The sequence below is a fragment of the Homo sapiens genome, chromosome 17 (assembly GCF_000001405.40).
Source record: "Homo sapiens chromosome 17, GRCh38.p14 Primary Assembly".
Lineage (NCBI taxonomy): Eukaryota > Metazoa > Chordata > Mammalia > Primates > Hominidae > Homo > Homo sapiens.
In genome coordinates, this window is record NC_000017.11 from 40214702 (window position 1) to 40241526 (window position 26825).

A 26825-nucleotide genomic window follows, 5' to 3' on the forward strand; every position below is an offset into this window, starting at 1 on the left:
AAACAAAAAAACAAAGGGCCAGGTGTGGTGGCTTACACCTGTAATCCCAGCACTTTGGGAGGCCAAGGCAGGTGGATCACTTGAGGTCAGGAATTCAAGACCAGCCTGGCAAATATGATGAAACCTCATTTCTACTAAAAATACAAAAACTAGCCGGGCGTGCTGGCATGTGCCTGCAATCCCAGCTACTCGGGAGGCTGAAGCAGAAGAATTGCTTGAACCCGGGAGGCAGAGGTTGCAGTGAGCCGAGATCGCGCCATTGCACTTCAGCCTGGGCAACACAGCAAGACTGTCTGAAACAAACAAACAAAAAACACAGACTCTGGAGATACTTTTACTTTCGCTACTTATAGATATGTGACTTTGAGCAAGATGATTAACCTTGCTGTGTCTGTTTCTTCATCTGTAAAATGGGCTTAAAAATATCTGCCTCAGAAAGTTATTGAGAGGATTAAATGAGCTATGTGAGGTTTTGACAGTGCCTGGCACATGGTAAGTGTTACTAAATGTCAAACTTATGATGACTTCTGTAACCTAATTTCTTGCCTCCCCCAGAAGTTCTAACTCTATATCAATATATTTTCTGAACCAGGTGAGGTGGCTCACACCTGTAATCCCAGCACTTTGGGAGGCCGAAGTAGGAGGATCACTTGAGGCCAGGAGTTCCACACCACCTGGGCAACAAAGGGAGATGCTGTGTCTGTGAAAAGAAAAAAATTGGCCGGGCACCGTGGCTCACGCCTGTAATTCTAGCACTTTGGGAGGCCTAGGCAGGTGGATCACGAGGTCAGGAGATCGAGACCATCCTGGCTAACACGGTGAAACCTCATCTCTACTGAAAATACAAAAAATTAGCTGGGCGTGGTGGCGGGCGCTTGTAGTCCCAGCTACTTGGGAGGCTGAGGCAGGAGAATGGCATGAACCCTGGAGGCGGAGCTTGCAGTGAGCCGAGATTGCACCACTGCACTCCAGCCTGGGGGACAGAGCGAGATTCCTTCTCAAAAAAAAAAGAAAGAAAGAAAAAGAAAAAAAATGTAAAAATTAGCTGCATGTGGTCACCAGTGCCTGCAGTCCCAAATAGGAGGCTGAGGCAGAAGGACCACTTGAGCCCAGAAGTTCAAGACTACAGGCCAGGTGTGGTGGCTCACGCCCATAATCCCAGCACTTTGGGAGACCAAGGTGGATGGATTATCTGAGATCAGGAGTTTGAGACCAGCCTGGCCAACTTGGTGAAACCCCATCTCTACTAAAAACACAAAAATTAGGGCCAGGCGCAGTGGCTCACAACTCTAATCCCAGCACTTTGGAAGGCCAAGGCAGGTGGATCACCTGAGGTCTGGAGTTTGAGACCAACCTTGCCTACATGGTGAAACCCCATCTCTACTAAAAATACAAAAAATTAGCCGGGCGTGTTGGCAGGCGCCTGTAATCCCAGCTACTCGGGAGGCTGAGGCAGGAGAATCGCTTGAACCCGGGAGGCGAGCTGAGATTGCGCCATTGCACTCCAGCCTGGGCAACAAGAGAGAAACTCTGTCTCAAAAAAAAAAAAATACAAAAATTAGACAGGCATGGTGGCTGGTGCCTGTAGTCCCAGCTACTCGGGAGGCTGAGGCAGGAGAATCGCTTGAAGCCAGGAGATGGAGGTTGCATTGAGCTGAGATCACACCACTGCACTCCAGCCTGAGCAATAGAGTGAGACTCATTTTCAAAAAATAGAAAAAATAAAAAGACTGCAGGCCAGGCGCAGTGGCTCATACCTGTAATCCCAGCACTTCAGGAGGCCGAGGCGGGCGGATCATGAGGTCAGGAGATCGAGCCCATCCTGGGTAACATGGTGAAACCTCGTCTTTACTAAAACTACAAAAAAAAAAAAAAAATTAGCCAGGCATGGTGGCAGGTGCCTGTAGTCCCAGCTACTCGGGAGGCTGAGGCAGGAGAATGGTGTGAACCCAGGAGGCGGAGCTTGCAGTGAGCCGAGATTGCGCCACTGCACTCTAGCCTGTGCGTCAGAGCGAGACTCTGTCTCCAAAAAAAAAAAAAAAAAAGACTGCAGTGAGCCATTACTGTGCCACTGCACTGCAGCATGTCTTTAAAAGACCCTGTCTCTTAAAAAAAAAAAAAAGTGCGTTCAGTTATTGGAATGTGCCATGATTCTTCTTGCTTTGCCCAAACTCTCCCTACAATGCTTTTCCTTCACTTCTTCCCTGGTCAATTCCTACCTGTCCCTCAAGTCTCACTTAGAATATGGGTATGGCCTCACTTAGTTACTTTCTTTTTTCTTCCTTTAGACAGGGTTTCACTCTATTGCTCGGGCTGGAGTGCAGTGGCCAATCATGGCTCAGCCCAGCCTTGATCTCCTGGGCTTAAGTGATCCTCCCATATCAGCCTCCCAAGTAGCTGGAACCACAGGCTCACACCACCGTGTCCAGCTAATTTTTTTTTTTTTTTTTGAGACAGAGTCTCACTCTCGTTGCCCAGGCTAGAGTGCAATGGAGTGATCTCAGCTCACCGCTACCTCCGCCTCCTGGGTTCAAGCGATTCTCCTGCCTCAGCATCCCAAGTAGCTGGGATTACAGGCATGTGCCAACACACCTGGCTAATTTTGTATTTGTAGTAGAGACGGGGTTTCACCATGTTGGTCAGGTTGGTCTCGAACTCCCCACCTCAGGTGATCTGCCCGCCTTGGCCTCCCAAAGTGCTGGGATTACGGGCGTGAGCCACCGTGCCCGGTTATATCCGGGTAATTTTTGTAGTAACAAGATTTCACCATGTTTCCCAGGCTGGTCTTGAACTTCTGGGCTCAAGCGATCCCCCCTGTCAGCCTCCCAAAGTGCTGGGATTACAGGCATGAGCCACTGCACTTGGGCCATTTACCTTTTTCATGAAGCCTATATCACTATTTCCCCAAGTCTGGGTGAGATGTCCCTATATTCATCCCAGCGGCTGCCCTTATCACAGAGTGTGTGATAGAGCATGGGGCTTTACATTAGCTACAGTGGGCAGTGAATGCCCTCTGAGGACGAAGCATTTGCAGTAAGGCTTGAAAAATGAGGAAGAGGCGGAGGATAGCCAGTACACAGTCCCTGAGGTGGGAACTGCTGAATGGGGTACATTGCAGTGATAGAAATCAGGTCCTCATAATGTAGAGTGAGTGAGGAGGGGACAGGCAGGGGATGAGGTTGAAGAGTTGGGAGGCTCTGGTAAGGTGTTTGGACCCACCATCTCCCTGGCTCCATCGCCCCACGTATGGCCATGCAGGATGTAGACAGCTGAAAATCTTTACCTCGTGTCCTTGATCCCTATGCCTGCTGTGTTCCCTGCCTTCTCTGATTAATAATAAAATTCCATTCATCCTTCAAGGCCCAGCTCCAAACCATTTAGGAAACCTCCTTCCATTCTTTAGCAGGAATTAATTGCTCCCTTGTCTGACGTCCCACAGCACTAATCACACGCTGACTTGTATCTCAGCTAGCTGTTTATGCCAGTCTGCCCACCAACGTAGTGAGTTCCCTGAGGGCAGAGGCTCTGTCTTAGTCACCTCTGTAGCCATCTCCTGGTGTTTAGCAGGTACTCAATGTGACATTTACTTGACTAGTGGGTGGTGCCTAGTACTACTCATGGCAGAATAGAAGGAAAACAAAAATAATAACAACTTATGCTCTATCACGTTTTCCCATTCATTAACTGATTTCAGCTTTGCAACAACTCTATGAGACAGACGGGACAGGCACTATTAGACCCATTTTACAGATAGGGTAGCTAAGGCCCAATGGCACACAGCTTGTAAGTAATGGGGACTAAGTCCCAATCTTGCCCCCTTACTTCGGATTCTGTGCTGGGAATGGAATTAAACCAAGAGTATTTTGAAGCTATAATGGAAAGCGCTTTTCTGGGTGGACTAGGGAGAGATACTTAGTCAGCTGTCAGGGTTTAACAGCAGCTCCATCAAAGAGGGCACAGGATTTCTCTCTCTGGCCCAAGCAGCTGGAGGGGTCCACAGCACCATCCTATAGCCCTGGAAGCTGGAGGAAACCCCAGCCCGAGAAAGAAGAGACGGTGTTCGAGTCAGGTGGGTAAGATGACGTAAATGATGACTTGTGAGCAGTGGCCTGCCTCTGTTGCCATGACAACCGGAGCTTGACTACTTGGCCTTTGCAAGGTTGGCCGAGGCGGGTTCTTCGTTAACTCGAGATTAAGGAAGGATATTTAGGGGGGAGGGTGTGTGTGTGTGCGGCGGATTAAAGACGAAAGGAGTATATTCAACAATGACTGTTTAGCTCAGTGGTTCTCCACCTTGGCAACACGTTAGAATCACCTGCAACAATTTCCTGATGCCTAGGCTGCACCCCAGAATTAAATTATAATTTCCAGGGGTGGGAACCAGGCATCATAGTATTTAAATCTTGCCAGGTGATTCCAATTGCAGCTAAAGTTGCAAACCCAGCTTTTAGCTGGTAAGCGGAATTCCTGTGACCTTCCTAAGATGGCGTCCACTCAACCGCTTCCGCCTTTACGTGGGCCGGCAGGGGGCGGGCTTCCCAGGGGCGCATGCGTCTCGCATCTCTCCGCTCCCTGCTCTCTCCTCCTTTTTCCCCCGCCTCCATTTTGTTCGCGGACGCTGGGGACGGTGGGAGCAGATCCATTTCCGGGTTGGCAAAAGGGGCGGTGGCGGCGGCGGCGGCGGCGGCGGCGGCGGCGACGGCGAGAAAGAGCTTGCCGGGGGGCGAGCAGGACAGGACGAAGCCGGAGTGTAGGCGGCAGAGGATTCGCTCCCAGAGCAGCTGCGGCCAGGTCGGAAAGAGGCCGGGGCGGCTGGGTCAGTCGCTGAAATGACCTGCGGACCTGAGTGGGAGGGAAAGTCGCGGGGAGGGGGGCTCGGGGCGGGGCTTGAGAAGAGAGGGGGGCATTAGAGGAGGGGCCGGAGGGGGAGAGGGGTCTTGCGGGTGGGGCCTGAGGGGCGGGGGGCCGGGGGACTGTATCGGAAGAACCTGGAGGAGAGAGGGCGTGGGGAATCTGGGGAGGAGTGGTCGAATATTGGTATGGGGCGAGCGGGGACTGGAAAAATGGGGAGGAACGTTTTTGAGAGACAGGCAATAAGGGCTCCTGAAGGGTTGGGTGAGTTAAGGCGGCAACTCTGTGAGGAACGAGGTAATCGTGCGCAAAAAGGGAGACGGGAACGGAGGACCTGTTGGGAACGGCTAATTAGCAGGATGCTGTGGGTGAGGAGTCCAGTGTGACATTTTGGGGATTGAGTTAGGTGAAAGCTAGTGTTTGGGAAGATGGCTCGGGAAACTGCTTACACTAGAGGGAATCTTGAGAGCGTTCTTTGAAAAGGAATCAGAATTTAGTTAAAGGTTGGATTGAGAATGTTAAGATGCGCATTGGAACGTCTGGAGTTGAGGGTTCATGTTGAAGTGGTGTGAAGTGAGGGAAGATGGAATTTTTTTTTTTTTGTTTTAAAGGTGGGGTCTGGCTATGTTGCTCAGACTAGTCTTGAACTCCTGGGCTCAAGCGATCTTCCCACCTTGGACTCCCAGAGTGCTGGGATTACAGGTGTGAGCCACTGCACCCGGCCAAGATGGAAATGTTAAAGTGTTCAGCATGGCAGTGTGTATGGTCGAGTTTTTTATCAGGAAGGAAAGTTCTTAAAAATAGCATTGAGGCAAGGAACTGATATGTGATGGAATTCTTTTTTCTTTTTTTTTCTTTTAAGAGACGTGGTCTCACTCTGTCGCCCGGGCTGGAGTGCAGTGGCATGATCATGGCTCCTTAAAGCCTCGACCTCCCGGGCTGAAGTGGTCCTTCCACCTAAGCCCCGCCAATAGCTGGGACCACAGGTGTGACCACTACTCCCGCCTAACGTGTGTGTGTGTATATATATATATATATATATATATATATATATATATATATATATGTATATATATATATTTTTTTGTTGTTGTTGTTGGAGACAGAGTCTTGCCCTGTTGTCCAGGCTAGTCTGGAATTCCTGGGCTCAAGTGATCCTCCTGTCTCGGCCTCCGCAAGTGCTGGGATTACAGGGATGAGCCACTGTGCCTGGCCCAGAATTCGTTTTTTTTTTTTTTTTGAGATGGAGTCTCGCTCAGTGGCCTAGGCTGGAGTGTAGCGGTGCGATCTCGGCTCACTGCAAGCTCCGCCTCCCGGGTTCACGCCCATTCTTCTGCCTCAGCCTCCCGAGTAGCTGGGACTATAGGTGCCCACCACCACACCTGGCTAATTTTTTTTTGAATTTTTAGTAGAGACGGGGTTTCACTGTGTTAGCCAGGATGGATGGTCTGGATCTCCTGACCTCGTGATCCGCCCGCCTCTGCCTCCCAGAGTTCTGGGATTAGAGGCGTGAGCCCCTGCGCCTGTCCAGAATTCATATTTTTTAAAGGACTTGAATAATCTGTTATTGCTTTGGGCTCTCCCAGGGTCCCCGTCCTTTTTCATGCTGTTATTTTTGCCTTACGGTTTTGGTTTTTGACTGTCTTACTGAATGTTTTTGGCTATTCTGTTCTCCTTTTACAAATCAGAAGAGAACCACAGGGAATAAGGACAGTTTTAGCCTACCTATGGATTTAGTAAATAACTTCAAGGCAAATTATTAAGCTCTCATTTTTTTCCCCTTTGAAATATAGGTTTTCTCTGTCCCTGCCTCTAAAAGTTTGTCTTAACACATGGGATCTTTAAAGTGGTTGCATAGAAGTGATCTCTGAAAATGAGATTGAGATATTGATATTTAAAAGACATACAATGGTGCACCTGCCTGTAATCCCAGCTACTTGGGAGGCTGAGGCAGGAGGATTGCTTGAGTCTAAGAGTTCGAGACCATTCTGGGCAACGTAGCAATACCCCATCTCTCTCTCTGTCTCTTTTTTTGTTTGTTTGTTTAAGACGGAGTCTCGCTCTTTCACCCAGGCTGGAGTGCAGTGGCGTGATCTCGGCTCACTGCAACCTCTGCCTGCCGGATTCAAGCGCTTCTCCTGCCTCAGTCCCCCAAGTAACTGGTACTATAGGCATGCACCACCACGCCCAGCTAATTTTTTGTATTTTAGTAGAGATGGGGTTTCACCATGTTGGTCAGGCTGGTCTCGAACTCCTGACTTCAGGTGATCCACCCACCTCGGCCTCCCAAAGTGTTGAGATTACAGGCATGAGCTACCACACCTGGCCGCATGTTTAGTTTTTTAACTCTTATTAATGTCAACTTTTAAAAGTAAAAATTTCATATTGTGTTACATTGGTTGCCATCAAGATGAAGATAGGGAAGTTAAGAGTTGGGGAAGGTGGAGATGAATGAAGTCAATTGATGAAGACTAGTAGAATGTAGTGTTGGTTTTTTTATTTGTTTATTTATTTATTTTGAGACAGAGTCTTGCTGTATTGCCCAGGCTGGAGTGCAATGGCACAATCTTGGCTCACTGCAACCTCTGTCTCCTGGGTTCAAGCAATTCTCCTGGCTCAGCCTCCCAAGTAGCTGGGATTACAGGCGCGTGCTGCCACGCCCAGCTAATTTTTGTATTTTTAGTAGAGACAGGGTTTCACCGTATTGGCCAGGCTGGTCTCGAACTCCTGACCTCGTGATCTGCCCACCTTGGCCTCCCAAAGTGCTGGGATTACAGGTGTGAGCCACCGCGCCTGGCCGACCTGTCTCTTAAAGGAAAACAAGGCTGGGCGCGCTGGCTCATGCCTATAATCCCAACGCTTTGGGAGGCCAAGGTGGTGGATCACCTGAGATTGCAGTGAGCTGAGATCGCGCCATTGCACTCCAGCCTGGGCAACAAGAGCGAAACTCCACCTCAACAACAACAACAACAACAACAAAAGGAAACATGTTTTTCTGTTTCTTCCTCTTAGCCTTGCTCATGTGTGTGTGTGTTTGTGTGTGTGTGTGTGTGTCTGCGTGCCAGCCAGGGAAGAACTGGTTTTGATTTGATGCATATTCAGTTTTTTTTTTTTTTTTTTTTTTTTTTTTTTTTTGAGACAGAGTTTCGCTCCTGCTGCCCAGGCTGGAGTGGAATGGCGCAGTCTTGGCTCACTGCAACCTCCGCCTGCCGGATTCAAGCGCTTCTCCTGCCTCAGTCCCCCAAGTAACTGGTACTATAGGCATGCACCACCACGCCCAGCTAATTTTTTGTATTTTAGTAGAGATGGGGTTTCACCATGTTGGTCAGGCTGGTCTCGAACTCCTGACTTCAGGTGATCCACCCACCTCGGCCTCCCAAAGTGTTGAGATTACAGGCATGAGCTACCACACCTGGCCGCATGTTTAGTTTTTTAACTCTTATTAATGTCAACTTTTAAAAGTAAAAATTTCATATTGTGTTACATTGGTTGCCATCAAGATGAAGATAGGGAAGTTAAGAGTTGGGGAAGGTGGAGATGAATGAAGTCAATTGATGAAGACTAGTAGAATGTAGTGTTTGTTTTTTTATTTGTTTATTTATTTATTTTGAGACAGAGTCTTGCTGTATTGCCCAGGCTGGAGTGCAATGGCACAATCTTGGCTCACTGCAACCTCTGTCTCCTGGGTTCAAGCAATTCTCCTGGCTCAGCCTCCCAAGTAGCTGGGATTACAGGCATGTGCCACCTGGCTAATTTTTGTATTTTTAGTAGAGACAGGGTTTTGCCATGTTGGCCAGGCTGGTCATTTACTAATTCCACCTCACACTTGATACTAGAGTAGTGTTTACCCTAGCTGGTACTGATAAGTTATGTGATAGCACCAAGGTGAAATGCAGGAGAGGTGTGAACATTGGAGTTTTCAGGTTTTACTGATGGCTTTTACGAAGGGAAGAGATTCTAGACTCACTAGGTGTTTTTAGGAAAAAAAAAAGGCAAGAGGCAAGAGACAGAAGTCTTGTTCTGTTGAAGAGAAAATTTTTTTTTGGGTTTTTTTTTTTTTTTTTTGAGACGGAGTCTCGCTCAGTTGCCCAGGCTGGAGTGCAATGGCATGATCTCTGCTCACTGCAACCTCCACCTCCCAGGTTCAAGCGATTCTCCTGCCTCAGCCTCCTGAGTAGCTGGGTGCCATCACGCCTGGCTAATTTTTGTATTTTTGTAGAGACGAGGTTTCACTGTGTTGGTCAGGCTGGTCTCGAACTTCTGACCTTGTGATCTGCCAGTCTCGGCCTCCCAAAGTGCTGGGATTACAGGCGTGAGCCACCGCGCCCGGCCCGAGAAAATTATTAAATGTTCTTTCTTTACTTGTGTTCTCTGATTGGGAGAGTAACCTGGTATATGTTAGTCTGTTTTCCTGCTCTGAAATAACTGTGAAATTCATGGGCTCTTGGTTCAGGCAGCTTCAGCAAACATAGTCTTCTTACAACCCCAGGAAGAGTTGCAGGCTACAAAATATATGTACTTATTTGGGAGTAAAAACCTGCTTAATATTATGCTATTGCAACCTACAGTGTACCTTTTTGGTTTGTTTTTTAAGGGGATTTTGAGATAACATATGGAGGCTCGGTGCTCCTGGGCGGACTTTTGGTACAGCCTGCTTATTTTTTTTTTCTTTTCTTTTCTTTTTTTTTTTTTTTTTTGAGACGGAGTCTCACTTTGTCCCCCAGGCTGGAGTGCAGTGGCGCAATCTCGGCTCACTGCAAGCTCCGCCTCCCAGGTTCACGCCATTCTCCTGCCTCAGCCTCCTGAGGAGCTGGACTACAGGCGCCTGCCACCACGCCCGGCTGATTTTTTGTATTTTTTTTTTTTTTTTTTTTGTAGTAGAGACGGGGTTTCAACTTGTTAGCGAGGATGTCTTGATCTCCTGACCTTGTGATCCACCCGCCTCGGCCTCCCAAAGTGCTGAAATTACGGGCGTGAGCCACCGCGCCCGGCCCAGCCTGCTTCTTTAACATAATGATTTTCCATTTTTCCTATCCTGTCACAGTTTTCCGTTGCTCTGCTTGAGCCAGTCCTATGTAGAAAGTGGCAAATTACACATTTTTTCTCCCCTTTTAGTCTCTGGTGGACATCTTGTCTGTGTCACAGTTTGATACTACCAAATTGAAAGGATTCTTCACTGCTTCAGATGGGGAGGGTGACAGAAGCTGAGCTGTTTCCTGGGTCAGATAATGGCCTCTGTCAAAGCAAAGAATAGTTGTAGAGACACAAACTGGGCCCTTGAAGCTGTGACTAACATTTTGGCAACATGCATCCCTTTGCCAAATAACTTCTTTTCTTCTTGAGTGTGATTGTTGATCTCCTTCTCAAAGTAGGCTCTTGTTGCTACTATTCTTCACACAACTCCCAAGCAAAAGTTGGCAGAGTTCCGGTTGACTGACTGTGTCTTGAGGGATATGCCCCGGATTAGAGTGGATGGGGCGTTCCATGTCAAAATGAGGTTCATTGGCAGATCCTGAGAGCTGCTTTGCAAAGAAATAGAGGCAGTACTCTTTACTGAATGTTCTTGCGGTCCTTTATCTTTCTTCTAAATTCAAGTCTGTTTCTTATTCATCTAGTGATTAAATGCAGAATCATTGCCTTTGCCTAGCTTCGTGGGCATTGTGGAAGAGAAGACAGTATTTCCAACTTTTTTTTTTTTTTTCTTTTCTCACAAGCCATTGAGCCTGAGGAACTACAGGCTAAATTTATGAGCATTTCTTGATATCTACAGAGGGCTACTAAAAAAAAAATGCTGAATAGACCTTTATGGGGAACAACAATGTTAATAGGAAAAAAAGGTGATATGTTTGCTAATGTCTATGTCAGTCTTAACTCTCTTTAAGATTTTGGCTCATTTTGGCTTAAGAGCCTGCAGAAGTATGTAAGTTATCAAATAGGGGAGCCAGGAATTGGTTTCTTCCTTGCCATTTAAGCTTGGCAAAGTTAGAGCAATTTGGAATGGCTATCCAACAATGTGTTCTACTTAGTAAATACTCTCTTGTTTTTCAGGGGATAGTTAGCTAAAGGTAGGGTTATCTCCAATATGTTTTGGGATGGATCGTGAAGATCATTCCCTTTTTATTTTGAGACAGGATCTCTCTCTCTTGCCCAGGCTGGAGTGTGGCGGCGTGATCTGTAGCCTCGACCTCCCCAGGCTCAGGCTCAGGTGTTCTTCCCACTTCAGCCTCCTGTGTAGCTGGGACTACAGGCGCACGCCACTATGCCTCACTAATTTTTATTTTTTGTAGAGATGGGGTTTCGCCATGTTGCCCAGCCTGGTCTTGAACTTTTGCCGGCCTCCCAAAGTGCTGGGATTATAGGTGTGAGCCACCAGGCTCAGCCATTATAATTGATTTTCAAAAAAAATTTAGTTTCTTAAGCTTCATGGATTCAAATTGAGTGCCATTTGGATTTTGAGGCCCCTCAGTGGAAATAATTTGTTTTTAGCAAGTAATTATGATATTTCTAAAGTGCAAATTCACTGACCTACTTTCTGTGCTTCTGGAAATGCTGAATCGAATAATCTTTTTTTTTCCTCCCAATAATCCCTCTGACTGTGAAAACATTCTCCATATGTATTCAGATTGGGATAGTTGGTAAAAAAAAAAAAAAAAAAATTTTTTTTTTTTTGAGATGGAGTCTCGTTCTGTCGGCCAGTCTGGAGTGCAGTGGTGCGATCCCAGCTCACTGCAACCTCCACCTCCCGGGTTCATGCGATTATCCTGCCTCAGCCTCCCGAGTAGCTGGGATTACAGGCGCACACCACCACACCCGGCTAATTTAATTTTTTTTTTTTTGTATTTTTAGTAGAGACGGGATTTCACTATGTTGGCCAGACTGGTCTCGAACTCCTGACCTCGCGATCCGCCCACCTTGGCCTCCCAAAGTGCTGGGATTACAGGCATGAGCCACTGTGCCCGGCCTTTGGAATTTTCTTCTAAGGTAGTACACTAGTATGAGATGCGATGTCTGAGATTTGTGGATAAGTGGACTTTTCCTTCTTCCATTCCTGCCCTCCCAGTGCTCACCTAGTAGGGAGGATGTTTATTATCTAAGATCCAGATGTGAGACATTTAAACTGCTTCTTTCCTTGTCTTAGAAATAAGAACAGAACTGTTTTTAGCAAATTTTATTTTTTTAATTTTTTAAATTTATTATTATTATTTTTGAGACTGAGTCTTGCTCTGTTGCCCAGGCTGGAGTGCAATGGCACAATCTCGGCTCACTGCAGCCTCTGCCTCCTGAGTTCAAGCGATTCTGCTGCCTTAGCCTCCTGAGTAGCTGAGATTACAGGTGCACGCCACCATGCCCAACTAATTTTTGTATTTTTTAGTAGAGGTGGGGTTTCACCTTGTTGCCCAGGCTGGTCTTGAACTCCTGACCTAGTGATCTTTCCGCCTCAGCCTCCCAAAGTGCTGGGATTACAGGCGTGAGCCACCACGCCCAGCCTATTTATTTATTTTTTTTTGAGACAGAGTTTCACTGTGTCAGCCAGGCTGGAGTGGAGTGGCAAGATCTGGGCTCACTGCAAGCTCTGCCTCCCAGGCTCAAGCAATCTCCTGCCTCACCGTGTCAAGTAGCTGAGATTACAGGTGTGTGCCACCACGTCCAGCTAATTTTTGTATTTTTAGTAGAGACGGGGTTTCACCATGTTGGCCAGGCTGGTCTCAAACTCCTGACCTCGTGATCTGCCTGCCTCGGCCTTCCAAAGTGCTGGGATTACAGGTGTGAGTCACTGCTCCTGGCCACAAATGTTATATTTTAAATAAATAATACAAAATTTAAAAGATAAAAAAGTATATAAGCAGGATGGTGGCCATGGAAGTCAGAATCCACTAAGGAGTATGTATCAACTCACCTGCCAAGAAAAAGAAAGTATATAGTGAATACCCTTGGAAACATCTATGTTTGTCTTCCTATCAATCCAGTTCATCTTCCCAGAGGCAACTCGTATTATTATTTTCTTTAGATCTGTTCCAGGCTGGTTGCGGTGGCTCACACCTGTAATCCCAGCACTTTGGGAGGCTGAGGCGGGCGGATCACCTGAGGTCAGAAGTTGGAGACCAGCCTGGCCAACATGGTGAAACCCTGTCTCTATTAAGAATATAAAAATTAGCGGGGCATGGTGGTGTGTGCCTGTAGTCCCAGTTACTCGGGAGGCTGAGGCACAAGAATCACTTGAACCTGGGAGGCGGAATGGTGAGCTAAAATTGTGCCACTGCACTCCAGCCTGGGTGACAGAGCAAGACTTTGTCTCAAAACAAAACAAAAAACAAAAAAAGTTTGTTCCAGAGATACCAGGTACATATAAAGCAAATATGTATATTTCTTGTTTTTTTTTTTGTTGTTGTTGTTTTAATAAATGTAGCACACTGTTAATACTATCTGTATCTTTTGCTTGTTTTTATACCTCTTTTTGTTTTTTTTTTTTTTTTTTTTTTTGAGACGGAGTCTCGCTCTGTCGCCCAGGCTGGAGTGCAGTGGCGGGATCTCGGCTCACTGCAAGCTCCGCCTCCCGGGTTCACGCCATTCTCCTGCCTCAGCCTCCCAAGTAGCTGGGACTACAGGCGCCCGCCACTACGCCCGGCTAATTTTTTGTATTTTTAGTAGAGACGGGGTTTCACCGTTTTAGCCGGGATGGTCTCGATCTCCTGACCTCGTGATCCGCCCGCCTCGGCCTCCCAAAGTGCTGGGATTACAGGCGTGAGCCACCGCGCCCGGCCATTTTTATACCTCTTTTGACTGTTACTCCCTATCAGCAATAAAGATACTTGGCACCTACCTTACACTGATAGACATACACAGTTTCCAGTCTTTTGCTATTACAAACTATGCTGCAGTGAAGAAGCATATATATTTGGCTCTTTGCATATATGACTGTGTCTGTAGGGTAAATTCTTAGAACTAGAATTGCTGAAGCTGATTTTTTTTGATGTTCGTTATTCATTTATTCAACAAGAATTTTTGAGTTCCTACTGTGTGCCAAGTACTGTGGTAGGGGATGCAGGGGATGCAGATAGGGCAGTGAACAAATTTTCTTGGTCTTTTTTTTTTTGAGACAGAGTCTCTCTCTGTCACCCAGGCGGGAATTTAGTGGTGCAAACATGGTTCATTGTAGCCTCAACCTTCTGGGCTCAAGCAGTCCTCCCACCTCAGCCTCCTGTGTAGCTGGGACCACAGGTGTGTGCACAATTTTTAAAATTTTTTGTAGACGTGAGGTCTCACTTTGTTGCCTAGGCTGGTCTTGAACTCGGGCTTAAGCAGTCCTCCTATCTCGAAGTGCCATAATTACAGGCATGAGCCACCACACCTGGCCCTGACTTGGTCTTCCACTTACGGTGGAAGACTTTTTTTTTTTAGACAAGGTTTCATTCCCATCTTGGCTCACTGCGACCTCCACCTCCTGGGCTCAAGTGATTCTCTTGCCTTAGCCTCCTAAATAGCTGGGACTGCAGATGCATGCCACCATGGCTAATTTTTGTAGTTTTTGTAGAGGTGGGGCTTTGCCAAGTTGCCCAGGCTGGTCTTTTTTTTTTTTTAGATGAGTTTTGTTCTTGTTGCCCAGGCTGGAGTGCAATGGCATGATCTCAACTCACCGCAACCTCTGCCTCCCGGGTTCAAGCGATTCTCCTGCCTCAGCTTCCCGAGTAGCTAGGATTACAGGCATGCATCACCACGCCCGGCTAATTTTGTATTTTTAGTAGAGACGGGGTTTCTCCTTATTAGGCTGGTCTCGAACTCCTGACCTCAGGTGATCCGCCCACCTCGGCGTCCCAAAGTGCTGGGATAACAGGTGTGAGCCGCCGCACCTGGCCAAAGACATTTATTCATTTATTTATTTATTTGTTTTAGACAGAGTCTAGCTCTATTAGCCAGGCTGGAGTGCAGTGGCATGATCTTGGCTCACCGCAACCTCTGCCTCCCAGGTTCAAGCCATTCTGCTGTAGCCTCCCAAGTAGCTGGGACTACAGGTGCACCACCATGTCTGGCTAATTTTTTCTGTATTTTTAGTAGAGATGGGGTTTCACCATGTTGGCCAGGCTGGCCTCAAAACTCCTAACCTCAAGTGATCTTCCTGCCTCGGCCTCCTAAAGTGCTGGGATTGTAGGTGTGAGCCACCGTGCCTGGCCCAAAGACATTTATTAAACAAATAATTATTACTGTTGCTGTAAATGCTGTGGAGACAGCTAATGGTTAGCCCATCCCAGGTTGATTGAGAGGAAGGGCAGTCAGAGAAGGTCTCTGAGGAATTGACTTTTAAGGGTGAAACCTAAGAATGAAGGGAGGACAAAAGACTGACCTAGGTAGAGGAGATGGCACAGGTGAATGTCCTGAGGAGGGAAAGAATGTTTGTATTTTGAGGAATTGAAAGAGGTTCCAGTGTGGCTGGAGCTTAGGGAGTGAAAAACAGACAGGTAGGAGGCAAGGCTTCAGAATGTGAGCTGTCCTAAAAAATGGGTAAATAGGCTGGCATGGTGGCTCATGCCTGTAATACCAACACTTTGGGAGACCAAGGTGGGAGGATCACTTGAGCCTAGAAGTTCACAACCAATCTGGGCAACATAGGGAGACCCCCCAGTCTCTATATAATTAAAATATTAGCTGGGCATGGTGATGAGCACCCGTGGTTCTAGCCGCTCAGGAGGCTGAGGGAGGAGGATCACTTGAGCCCCAGGAGAGGGAGGTTGCAGTGAGCTGTTGCAGCACCACTGCACTCCAACCTCGGAGACAGAGTGAGACCCTGTTTCAAAAAACAACAACTAAAAGAGTAATAGGATAGTGAATTTTGAGGTCAGCTTCTAAAATAGGGCTTTTTTTTTTCCTGTCAGTTCTTTTACTAGTGTTGATGATGAGACCATCAGTGTCATAAAGAAGTCTGATGCTTGTGCAGTGAAACAGTTTTTATAAGAACTTTCCTGGATGAAACCTATTCTTTTAGTCTTGATTTCTCATAGGTCCTGCAAATCAAACTTGGTTGGCTGGATTAGCTCTTAAAATTTTAGGATCTTAGAAATTGTTTTGGAGATTAGGCTTATTGGGGAACAATTTTTAGATTATGGGGGATGATGGGATTGTTAGTTTACCAGACTTGCTATTTAGGAAACAGAAAACCTATTTACTTTTAGTGGGAGGAGCAGGGAGGAGTGTTTAAAAAAAGAAAAAACTTATTTACTGTTAGGGAATGTTGACTGTTTTAAAAATAATCTTCATGGTGCTAGGGAGAGAACAGATGTTCTTTTATTTTGAACCGATGAATATACTGTCATACCCATCATCTAGGCCATATGTCTTAGCATGACACGTAAGTCTTGTTGGACACGCAAGGTAGCCCAAGGGCCATTATAATTCTGAATATATGAAAGTGTTTTTATCTGCAAGTGTATTGACTTTTGTTCAGAAATCACAGTACTTAAAACCCAGATGGTCCTGTTTGATTTAGTACTTCTGTTTAATTGGATCAGCTTGCCCTGTTTTTATAACTTAAAGTAGACTCTTGACTTAGCAGCCCATCACTAGTGATCAAGGGACGGAAATGTGCAAATTTTCTAGCATTTCAGCAAGGAGCATCTGTGTTTCTGATGGCTTAAGGGTATTAGAATGTAAGAGAAGAGACTCCTTGACAATGAAAGTCACAGATTTGTTATTAGATTATCTGTGGTGAGTTGGGACTTAATATATTATCTTTGAAATGAGGCATGACACTTGTCTCCATGTGAAGTCTGGATCAGCATTTTATGGAGCATCTGTTTAAGTTTTCTTTCAGGCCTTTTCTTAGTGGGGACTGTCATCACTGGATTTTCCTTCTATCTGACTGTTCTCTGTGCTTTTCTACCTTTTTTTTTTTTTTTTTTTGAGACGGAGTCTTGCTCTGTGTCCCAGCTGGAGTGCAGTGGCACGATCTCAGCTCACTGCAACATCTGCCTCCCGGGTTCAAGCAGTTCTCTGCCTCAGCCTCTGAGTAGCTGGGATTACAGGTGCCCGCCACCACGCCCAGCTAATTTTTTGTATTTTTAGTAGAGACAGGGTTTCACCATCTTGGCCAGGCTGGTCTTGAACTCCTGACCTTGTGATCCACCCGCCTTGGCGCCTCAAAGTGCTGGGATTACAGGCGTGAGCCACCATGCCTGGCCGCTTTTCTACTTTTATATATGGAGCGTGCAGATGAAGCCTGGCTCTTGGAAGTTGGGAGCTAGTAATAATATGAGATATGGCTAGCTTAAAATCTGAGAAGAGCTGTTTTTTTTTGGTCATCAATGACTAGGTTTCAGCCTGCCTCGTAATTGTATTTTAAATCTAATTAACAGTTTCTTAGAATGTCTAAAGATTCTTTGATTTTTTCTTTCTTTTTTTTTTTTTTTTTAGCAGTTAGTGGCATTACATTGAAAACAAGACCTAAAAAGAGAGTTAAGGTAATTGATTTTACTTTTTTTTTTTTTTTGAGACAGGATCTGGCTTTGTCACCCAGGCTGGAGTGCAGTGGTGTGATGTCTGCTCACTGCAACCTCTGCCTCCTGGGCTCAAGCGATCTTCCCACCTCAGCGTCCTGAGTAGCTGGGATTGCAGGCACATGCCACCATGCCTGGCTAATTTTTTTTTTTTTTTTTTTTTTTTTTTTGAGACAGGGTCTCGCTCTGTTGCCCAGACCAGAGTACAGTGGCGTGATCTCAGCTCACTGCAGTCTGTGGCTCCCAGGTTCAAGCAATTCTCATGCTTCAGCCTCTGGAGTAGCTGGAATCACAGGTGCACGCCACCACACACAGCTAATTTTTGTAGTTTTAGTAGAGACAGGGTTTCACCATGTTGGCCAGGCTGGTCTTGAACTCCTGACCTCAAGCAGTCCACCCGCCTTGGCCTCCCAAAGTGCTGGGATTACAGGCATGAGTACCACCATGCCTGGCCTAATTTTTGTATTTTTGTAGATGCTTTTGCCATGTTTCCCAGGCTGGTCTCGAATTCCTGAGCTCAAGTGATCCACCTTGGCCTCCCAAAGTGATGGGATTACAGGTATGAGCCACCGTGCCCGGCCAGTAATTGATTTTAATATTAATTTCTCTTTTTTTTTTTTTGAGGTGGAGTTTCACTCGTTGCCCAGGCTGGAGTGCAATGGTGTGATCTCGGCTCACTGCAACCTCTGCCTCCTGGTTCAAGCGATTCTCCTGCCTCAGCCTCCTGAGTAGCTGGAATTACAGGCATGCGCCACCATGCCCGGCTAATTTTGCATTTTTAGTAGAGACAGGGTTTCACCATGTTGGTCAGGCTGGTCTTGAACTCCCGACCTCAGGTCGTCTGCCCGCCTCGGCCTCCCAAAGTGCTGGTATTACAGGCGTGAGCCACCATACCTGGCTCATTTCTCTATTTTTGTGCATACCTTTGCAATTAATTTTGGTTATGATTTCCTATGGTAGATTGGAAGTTGCTCTCATATTTGCCCTCTGTTAGAGTAAGCTGTGGGGTTGTTGATCACTGTGTGGTTACACCCAGGCTGTGGCAGAGATTCAGGTCACATTAGCCAGCCTGCTGCCATTTGAGTTGAGTCAAGATACTGATTCTAGAGTTGGGCTTAATTAAGTCTTTAAAATTTTTTGTTTTGTTTGGGATTTTCTATTCTCCTTAACTGCATTGGTACCAGATCCAACGTTGACCTTATATTTTGAAATTTTGGTCAGTTTGTTTATATGGTGATTTTGCTTATACAGTGTTAGGGTTTTTTGATTTTTGGTAATTGTTTTTTGTCAAAATAGTAAGAATACATAAAGAATCAGACAGTACTACAAGGCTTATAATTAGAAAAAAAACACTACTTTATTTCTGCTTGTTTGTTTTTAACCACTTTTGCAATTTTTTTTCCCTGATGTATATTATCCATATTTCTATATAGTATGTTTAGGCTGTTTATTCTTTCTTTTTTTTTTTGATAGATGAAGTCTTGCTGTGTTGTCCAGGATGGCATTGAACTCTTGGGCTCAAGCAGTCCTCCTGCCTTAGTGGGGAGTACAGGTGTGCACCGCTGCACCTGGCTATACAGTTCTTTCTTGAGTTTTCCATTCTTACATATTATCTGTTGAGGCTGAAGGTGATGGCACAAGCCTGTAATCCCAGCACTTTAGGAGGCCGAGGCCTGAGATTGGGAGTTTGAGACCAGCCTGGCCAACATGGTGAAACCCCGTCTCTACTAAAAATACAAAATTGGGCCGGGCACTGTGGCTCACACCTGTAATCTGAACACTTTGGGAAGCCGAGGCGGGCGGATCACCTGAGGTTGGGAGTTCGAGACCAGCCTGACCAACATGGAGAAACCATATCTCTACTAAAAATACAAATTTAGCCAGGCGTGGTGGTGCATGCCTGTAATCTCAGCTACTCGGGAGGATGAGGCAGGAGAATTGCCTGAATGTGGGAGACAGAGGTTGCGGTGAGCTGAGATTGTGCCATTGCACTCCAGCCTGGGCAACAAGAAGAAAACTCCATCTCAAAAAATAATAATAAAAAAAACAGGCCAGGCACAGTGGCTCACGCCTGTAATCCCAGCACTTTGGGAGGCTGAGGCAGGCAGATCACAAGGTAAGGAGATTGAGACCATCCTGGCCAACATGGTAAAACCCTGTCTCTACTAAAAATACAAAAATTAGCTGGGTGTGGTGGCAAGTGCCTGTAGTCCCAGCTACTCGGGAGGCGCACGCCTGTAGTCCTAGCTACTCGGGAGGCGCATGCCTGTAGTCCCAGCTACTCGGGAGGCTGAGGCAGAAGAATTGCTTGGGAGAACCTGGGAGGCGGAGGTTGCAGTGAGCTGAGATTGCGCCACTGCACTCAAGCCTGGTGACAGAGTGAGACTCTGTCTCAAAACAAACAAACAAACAAACAAAAAAAACAACCGGAAATTATCTAGGTATGGTGGCATGCACTTGTAGTTCCAGCTATTTGGGAGGCTGAGAGGTGGGAGGATCACTTGAGCTGGTAGGTCAAGGCTGCATGCAGTAAGCCATGATCACACCACTGCACTCCATCCTGGGTGAAAGAGCGAGACCCTTTCTTCAAAAAAAAAGGAAAACCATTTTTGTTATTTCAAAGAGGATATTTTAGATGCTTACAAGACCATTGGAAGGCTGGAAGAGCATAGATCAGGGAAACCTCGTTGCAGGAATTTCAAGAAATGGCTTCTGTTAATAATCTTAGCTGCCTTAAGCACCAAAACAGGCAGTTTGCAGAAAATTAGAAATGGCTGCAAACCACATGTCTGCCATCTGTCCGAGGCCACGCACGCTCTCGTTGCTACTGGAGAAGCAATAATGGCATCTACCCTTCTTCCATTGTGCAAATCTTCTTTTTTTCCTTTTTTTTTTTTGAGACGGAGTCTTGCCCTGTCACCCAGGCTGGAGTGCAGAGTGGCGCGATCTCAGCTCACTGCAAGCTCTGCCTCCTGGGTTCACGCCATTCTCCTGCCTCAGCCTCCCTAGTAGCTGGGACAACAGGCGTCCGCCACCACGCCCAGCTAATTTTTTGTATTTTTAGTAGAGGCGGGGTTTCACCGTGTTAGCCAGGATGGCCGCCCGCCTCGGCCTCCCAAAGTGCTGGGATTACAGGCTTGAGCCACCACGCCCAGCCCATTGTGCAAATCTTAAGTGTTGGTAGAATTTAAACCACAATGGCACTGATGGAGGATTCTGATAAATGTAGTTCCCAGGCCTCCAGATGAATCCAGAAGGAAGTAGAAGTGAAAGTTACAAAAGAAAAAAAATTTAGCGCCCAGTATAATGACTGTATCATTCGATTACCTTTACTTCCTTGTGTAGTTTTTCCCTAGACATAGTAATTGTCATTCTTTTCCTTCCTTCCCTTTTTTGTTTTCTGCTTGTTTTACGGAAAGTCACTGATTCATCCCTAAACTCTGACAGGTATAAACCTCTTCTCATCATTGAAGCACATTAGTGGAGCACCTCTTCCAGAGGCTTTATGAAAGGAGTCTTTGGAGAGTGAGACTTTTTTTTTTTTTTTTTTTTTGAGACGGAGTTTCGCTCTTGTTGCCCAGGCTGGAGTGCAATGGCACGATCTCAGCTCACCACAACCTCCGCCTCCCGGGTTCAAGCAATTCTCCTACCTCAGCCTCCCGAGTAGCTGGGATTACAGGCATGCATCACCATGCCCAGCTAATTTTGTATTTTTAGTAGAGAACGGGTTTCTTCCATGTTGGTCAGGCTGGTCTCGAATTCCCGACCTCAGGTGATCTGCCTGTCTTGGCCTCCCAAAGTGCTGGGATTACAGGCATGAGCCACCGCGCCTGGCCTCTGGAGAGTGGGACTTTTTTGAGGCCTTGCATATCTGAATTACCTCCTTTCTTCCTTCACACTTGGCAGTTTGACTGGATTAAAAAAATTTTTTTTTTTTTTGAGATGGAGTCTTGCTCTGTCACCCAGGCCCGAGTGCAGTGATGGGATCTCGGCTCACTGCAACCTCCGCCTCCCATATTCAAGCGATTCTCCTGCCTCAGCACCGCCCCGAGTTGCTGGGATTATAGGCATCTGCCACCACGCCTGGGCTAATTTTTTGTATTTTTGGTGACTAAAGGGTTTCATTCACCGTGTTGGCCATGCTGGTCTCGAACTCCTGACCTCGGGGTGATCCACCCGCCTCAGCCTCCCAAAGTGCTGGGATTACAGGCATGAGTCAACTGTGCCCAGCCTAGATATAAAATTTTCTACTGGAGATTATATTTCTTTGGAAATTATAAGCCCTTGCTTTGTGGTCTTCTAACCTTTTTTTTTCTTTTGAGACAGAGAATTGCTCTGTTGCCCAGGCTGGAGTGCAGTGGTGCAATCTTGGCTCACTGCAACCTCCACCTCCCGGTTCGAGCGATTCTTTTGCCTCAGCCTCCCGAGTAGCTGGAACTACAGGCGTGTGTAGAGATGGAGTTTTGCCATATCAGCCAGGCTGGTCTCGAACTCCTGGCCTCAACCGATCCTCCTGGCTTGGCCTCCCAAAGTGCTGGGATTACAGGCATGAGCTGCCTCACTCAGCCTCTTTTTTTTTTTTTTTTTTTAAGACGGAGTCTCACTCTGTCGCCCAGGCAGGAGTGCACTGGTGCGATCTCAGCTCACTGCAACCTCCACCTCCCTGGGTTCAAGCAATTCCCTGCCTCAGCCTCCTGAGTAGCTGAGATTACAGGCGCCCACCATCACGGCCGGCTAATTTTTGTGTTTTTAGTAGAGACGGGGTTTTACCATCTTGGCCAGGCTGGTCTTGAACTCCTGATCTCATGATCCACCCGCCTCGGCCTCCCAAGGTTTCTAACTTTTAATAGTGGCATTATGAAGTTTGATGCTATTTTGACTCTAGATTCTTTGTATGGGATCTGTGTTTTTTCTCTGGAAGACTTTAGGATCTTGCCTTTATCCCTGACATTCTGAAATGCAACCATGTTGTGCCTTGGTGTGGATATTTAAAAATTCATCATACTCAGCATTCAGTGGACCTTTTCAGTCTGGAAGCTTATTTCAATCTATCCTGGGAAATTTTCTTGTATTATTTCTTGTATTGATAATGTATTCTCACTTTGATAATTATTTATCTCCTCTCTCTTTCTGGAAACGCTGTTACTCAGATGGTGAAACTCCTAGGTTGGTACTCTAATTTTTTTTTCCTATTCAATTTTTCCTTTTTTTTTTTTTTTTTGAGACAGAGTCTCACTTTGTCATCCTGGCTGGCATGCAGTGGTGCTATCTCGGGTCACCGCAATCTCCGCCTCCTGGGTTCAAGGGATTCCCCTGCCTCAGCCTCCTAAGTAGCTAGGATTACAGGCGTGCGCCACAACGCCCGCCTGATTTTTGTATTTTTAGTAGAGACAGAGTCTTACCATGTTGGCCAGGCTGGTCTCAAACTCCTGACCTCAAATGATCCGCCTGTGTTGGCCTCCCAAAGTGCTTCGGATAACAGGTGTGAGCTACCACGCCCAACCCTAATTTTTTTTTCCTTCATTCAATTTTTGTGAGATTTCCTTAGCTGTTCTTCCGACTCTCTGTTGTCGCTTAATTCCTGTTATCAGTTTGTTTAATTTCCAAGGGCTTTTTGTTTTTTTTTTAGACAGAGTCTTACTCTGTCGCCCAGGCTGGAGTGCAGTGGCGTGATCTCGGCTCACTGCAACCTCGGCCTCCCGGGTTCGAATGATTTTCCTGCCTCAGCCTCATAAGTAGCTGGGATTACAGGCACACACCACCACGCCCAGCTAATTTTTATATTTTTAGTAAAGATGGGGTTTCACCCTGTTGGTCACGGTGGTCTCAAACTCCTAACCCTGTCTCTACTAAAATACCAAAAAAAAAAAAAAAAAAAATTAGCCAGGTGTGGTGACGTGCGCCTGTAATCCCAGCTACTCAGGAGGCTGAGGTAGGAGAATTGCTTGAACCCGGGAGGCGGAGGTTGCAGTGAGTCAAGATGGTGCCACTGCACTCCAGCCTGGCAACAGAGGGAGACTCCGTCTCAAAAGAAAAAAAAAAAGCTCTTGACCTTGTGATCCACCCGCCTTGGCCTCCCAACGTGCTGGGATTACAGACGTGAGCCACCACCCCTGTCTCCAAGGGCTCTTTTTATTATCTGAATTTTACATGTATTTTTGGACATTGTCAGGAATTCTGTTTTGTTACTTTGATTCTTATCTTTCGTGTTAGAGATTTTCTTCAGTTGTTTGATAATTCTTAGCTGCTTATTCAATTTTTATTATTTATTTGTTTATTTATTTGAGATGGAGTCTGGCTCTGTTGCCCAGGCTGGAGTACAATGGCACGATCTTGGCTCACTGCAACATCTGCCTCCCCAGTTCAAGCAATTCTCCTGTCTCAGCCTCCCAAATAGCTGGGATTACAGGCACCCGCCATCATGCCCGGCTAATTTTTGTAGTTTTGTAGAGACAGGGTTTTACCATGTTGGCCAGGCTGGTCTTGAACTCCTGACCTCAGGTGATCTGCCTGCCTCGGCCTCCTAAAGTGTTGGGATTACAGGTGTGAGCCACTGCACCTGCCCTTATTTATTTATTTATTATTATTTTTTTGAGACAGAATCTCACTCTGTCGTCCAGGCTGGAGTGCAGTGGCACAATCTCGGCTCACTGCAAACCTCCGCCTCCCGGGTTCAAGCGATTCTCCTGCCTCAGCCTCCCGAGTAGCTGGGATTATAGGCGCTTGCCATCAGTGTGGCTAATTTTTGTATTTTTAGTAGAGATGGGGTTTCACCACCTTGGTCAGGCTGGTCTGAAACTCCTGACCTCATGATCCGCCCGCCTTGGCCTCCCAAAGTGCTGGGATTACAGACGTGAGCCACCGTGCCCGGCCATTTATTTTTTAAGAGATGGGGTTTTGCTGTGGGGCTCAGGCTGGATTCAAACTCCTGGGCTTAAGTTATCCTCCTACCTCCAAGTAGCTGGGACTACAGGCTCATGCCACTGTGTCTGGCTTCTGTTTATTTTATTTTATTTATTTATTTATTTATTTATTTATTTATTTATTTATTTGAGACGGAGTCTCGCTCTGTCGCCCAGGCTGGAATGCAGTGGTGCGATCTCGGCTCACTGCAAGCTCCGCCTCCCAGGTTCACGCCATTCTCCTGCCTCAGCCTCCCAAGTAGCTGGGACCACAGGCGCCCGCCACCACGCCCGGCTAATTTTTTGTATTTTTAGTAGAGACGGGGTTTCACTGTGTTAGCCAGGATGGTCTCGATCTCCTGACCTCGTGATCCGCCCCCTTCAGCCTCCCAAAGTGCTGGGATTACAGGCGTGATCCACTGCGCCCAGCCTTGGCTTCTGTTTATTTTTAAGAATGTGACACTAAGAAGCTCATCAAGTGGTGGACCCTACTATAGGGTATTGGGATTACAGGCACCCTGGCAGGCTGGTAAAAGGACTCCTCCAGTCCCCTGCCTAGAGAGTATAAGCCAGTGGCAGGTGTTTGAGTGTAAGTCTGGCTGCCAATGTTTTTGGAGCCAAGTGAGAGAAAGGAGCTGGGGAGGTAGGAGAGGTCTCACCGTTGACTCATTAGGCTTTTCACTTGATACCCTTATTTCCGTCACTGCCCTTAGCTGTGACTAGTTCCTTTGGACTCTTTGGTTCAGCTTTTCTTTTTTTTTTTTTTTTTTTTTGAGACGGAGTCTCACTCTGTCATCTCTAGGCTGGAGTGCAGTGGCGCTATCTTGGCCCACTGCAACCTCTGCCACCCGGCTTCAAAGGATTCTCCTGCCTCAGCCTCCCAAGTAGCTGGGATTACAAGTGCCTGCCACCGTGCCCGGCTAATGTTTGTATTTTTAATAGAGGTGGGGTTTTACCATCTTGGCCAGGCTGGTCTTGAACTCCTGACCTCAGGTGTTCCACCCACCTTGGCCTCCCAAAGTGCTGGGATTACAGGCATGAGCCACCGAGCCTGGCCTGGTTTAACTTTTCTAATTTGCCTGGCAGCATGGGGAGGGATGGAGGAATCCATTTGTTATACAGACTTTTCTTTTTTTTTTTAAGATGGAGTCTTGCTCTGTTGCCCGGGCTGGAGTGCAGTGGTGCAATCTCAGCTCACTGCAACCTCCACCTCCCAGGTTCAAGCAATTCTGCTGCCTCAGCCTCCCAAGTCGCTGGCAACTACAGGCATGAGCCACCACAATCGGCTAATTTTTTTGTATGTTTAGTAGAGACGGGGTTTCACCAGGTTGACCAGGCTGGTCTCGAACCCTTGAGCTCAAGTAATCCACCTGCCTCGGCCTCCCAAACTTCTGGGATTACAGGTGTGAGCCACCGTGCCAGTCCCAGACTTTCAACCAGTCCTCCTGTTTAGCCCCTTCTACACTATCACCCCATCTTCCCGAGGTACCAGGTGCCTCTAATTTCTGAGACGTTTTGATTCAGAAGTTCATCTGTGGTGGGAATCTGCTTGCTTCTTCCCACTGCAGTGTTTTGTTTTTTTTTTTTACTTTTGTGAAGTTATTTATCACTAGTGCATTTGCTTTTTACCTTCCAAAACTTTGTTGACATCTCTCTCTCTGCTGTCTCCTTTCCCAGTTTTTTTGCTTGTTGTTTGGTTTATGTCTTTATAAAAAAAAATCCTGGCCAGGCACGGTATCTCACGCCTGTAATCCCGGCATTTTGGGAGGCTGAGGCAGGCAGATCACGAGGTCAGGAGATGGAGACCATCCTGGCTAACACAGTGAAACCCCGTCTCTACTAAAAATACAAAAAAATTAGCTGGGCGTGGTGGCAGGCGCCTGTAGTACCAGCTACTCGGGAGGCTGAGGCAGGAGAATGACATGAACCCGAGAGGTGGAGCTTGCAGTGAGCCGAGATAGCGCCACTGCACTCCAGCCTGGGCAACAGAATGAGACTCCGTCTCAAAAAAAAAAAAAAAAAATCCTTTTGCTGTAATTTTAATGGTGTTTTATGATGGAACATTGATTAATGCATGCAATATATTATGTTTAACATGTTATTCAACATATTCATCAGCTTTTCCTTGCCAATATCCATTCAGACACCACAGTGTCTTTACAGTTGATTACTAATACTCCTTTAGCATAGTGTTTTCTAGACTTCCCTAACACCAAGAATCACTTAAAGTGCTTGTTGGATATACAGATTACCAGATCATTCTCCTGGAAAACTTCTGATTTTAGTTGGTTTAGATTAGCGCCCAGGGATCTTTTTTTAAAGTGTGTTTGTTTTTAAACAAATGCCCTAAATATGTCTTATCTTCAGGCAAGTTTGGAAACCCTGCTTTAGAAGGATTCTTTTTAAACCATTAATGCCATCTTACATCTCCATGGCAAACTCCTTAGCCTTCCCCTAATACTGCTTTTGTATTCAGACTCTGTTTTAGCCTGTCTAGCTTTGGTCTGGATTTCTGAATTAGCATGTGTGTCTTTCCTCTGATTAACTCCCCTCTTTAGTATTAAATGTTGGCTGATGGTAATAACTT

General features: G+C 46.5%; 1 protein-coding gene across 8 annotated transcripts in view, besides 5 other annotated features; it reads left to right on the forward strand.

Annotated features, from left to right (window-relative positions):
* Nucleotides 3944-3993: an enhancer, noted in NCBI's record as "active region_12134". NCBI's record gives its function as "activates an Ori minimal core promoter by ATAC-STARR-seq in GM12878 lymphoblastoid cells {active_cell/tissue: GM12878}" and the evidence as "EXISTENCE:reporter gene assay evidence [ECO:0000049][PMID:35858748]".
* Nucleotides 4434-4543: an enhancer, noted in NCBI's record as "active region_12135". NCBI's record gives its function as "activates an Ori minimal core promoter by ATAC-STARR-seq in GM12878 lymphoblastoid cells {active_cell/tissue: GM12878}" and the evidence as "EXISTENCE:reporter gene assay evidence [ECO:0000049][PMID:35858748]".
* Nucleotides 4434-5222: a biological region, named in NCBI's record as "H3K27ac hESC enhancer GRCh37_chr17:38375397-38376175".
* Nucleotides 4444-5222: an enhancer, noted in NCBI's record as "H3K27ac hESC enhancer chr17:38375397-38376175 (GRCh37/hg19 assembly coordinates)". NCBI's record gives its function as "activates a minimal SCP1, AML or CMV promoter by ChIP-STARR-seq in naive H9 embryonic stem cells {active_cell/tissue: H9 hESC(naive)}" and the evidence as "EXISTENCE:reporter gene assay evidence [ECO:0000049][PMID:30033119]".
* Nucleotides 4603-26825, forward strand: part of WIPF2 (WAS/WASL interacting protein family member 2) — a 64833-nt gene continuing 42610 nt past the window's right edge. For 3 of the 8 annotated variants that reach the window (XM_005257083.3, XM_047435499.1, XM_047435500.1), the window contains exon 1: nucleotides 4603-4816. The gene's annotated coding sequence lies outside the window, so the exon portion shown is untranslated. Of the gene's footprint in view, nucleotides 4817-4969; nucleotides 5220-26825 lie in introns of those variants that run through there. The other 5 variants (NM_133264.5, XM_011524412.1, XM_005257084.3 and 2 more) reach the window with 3 other exon arrangements.
* Nucleotides 9826-10397: an enhancer, noted in NCBI's record as "H3K27ac-H3K4me1 hESC enhancer chr17:38380779-38381350 (GRCh37/hg19 assembly coordinates)". NCBI's record gives its function as "activates a minimal SCP1, AML or CMV promoter by ChIP-STARR-seq in primed H9 embryonic stem cells {active_cell/tissue: H9 hESC(primed)}" and the evidence as "EXISTENCE:reporter gene assay evidence [ECO:0000049][PMID:30033119]".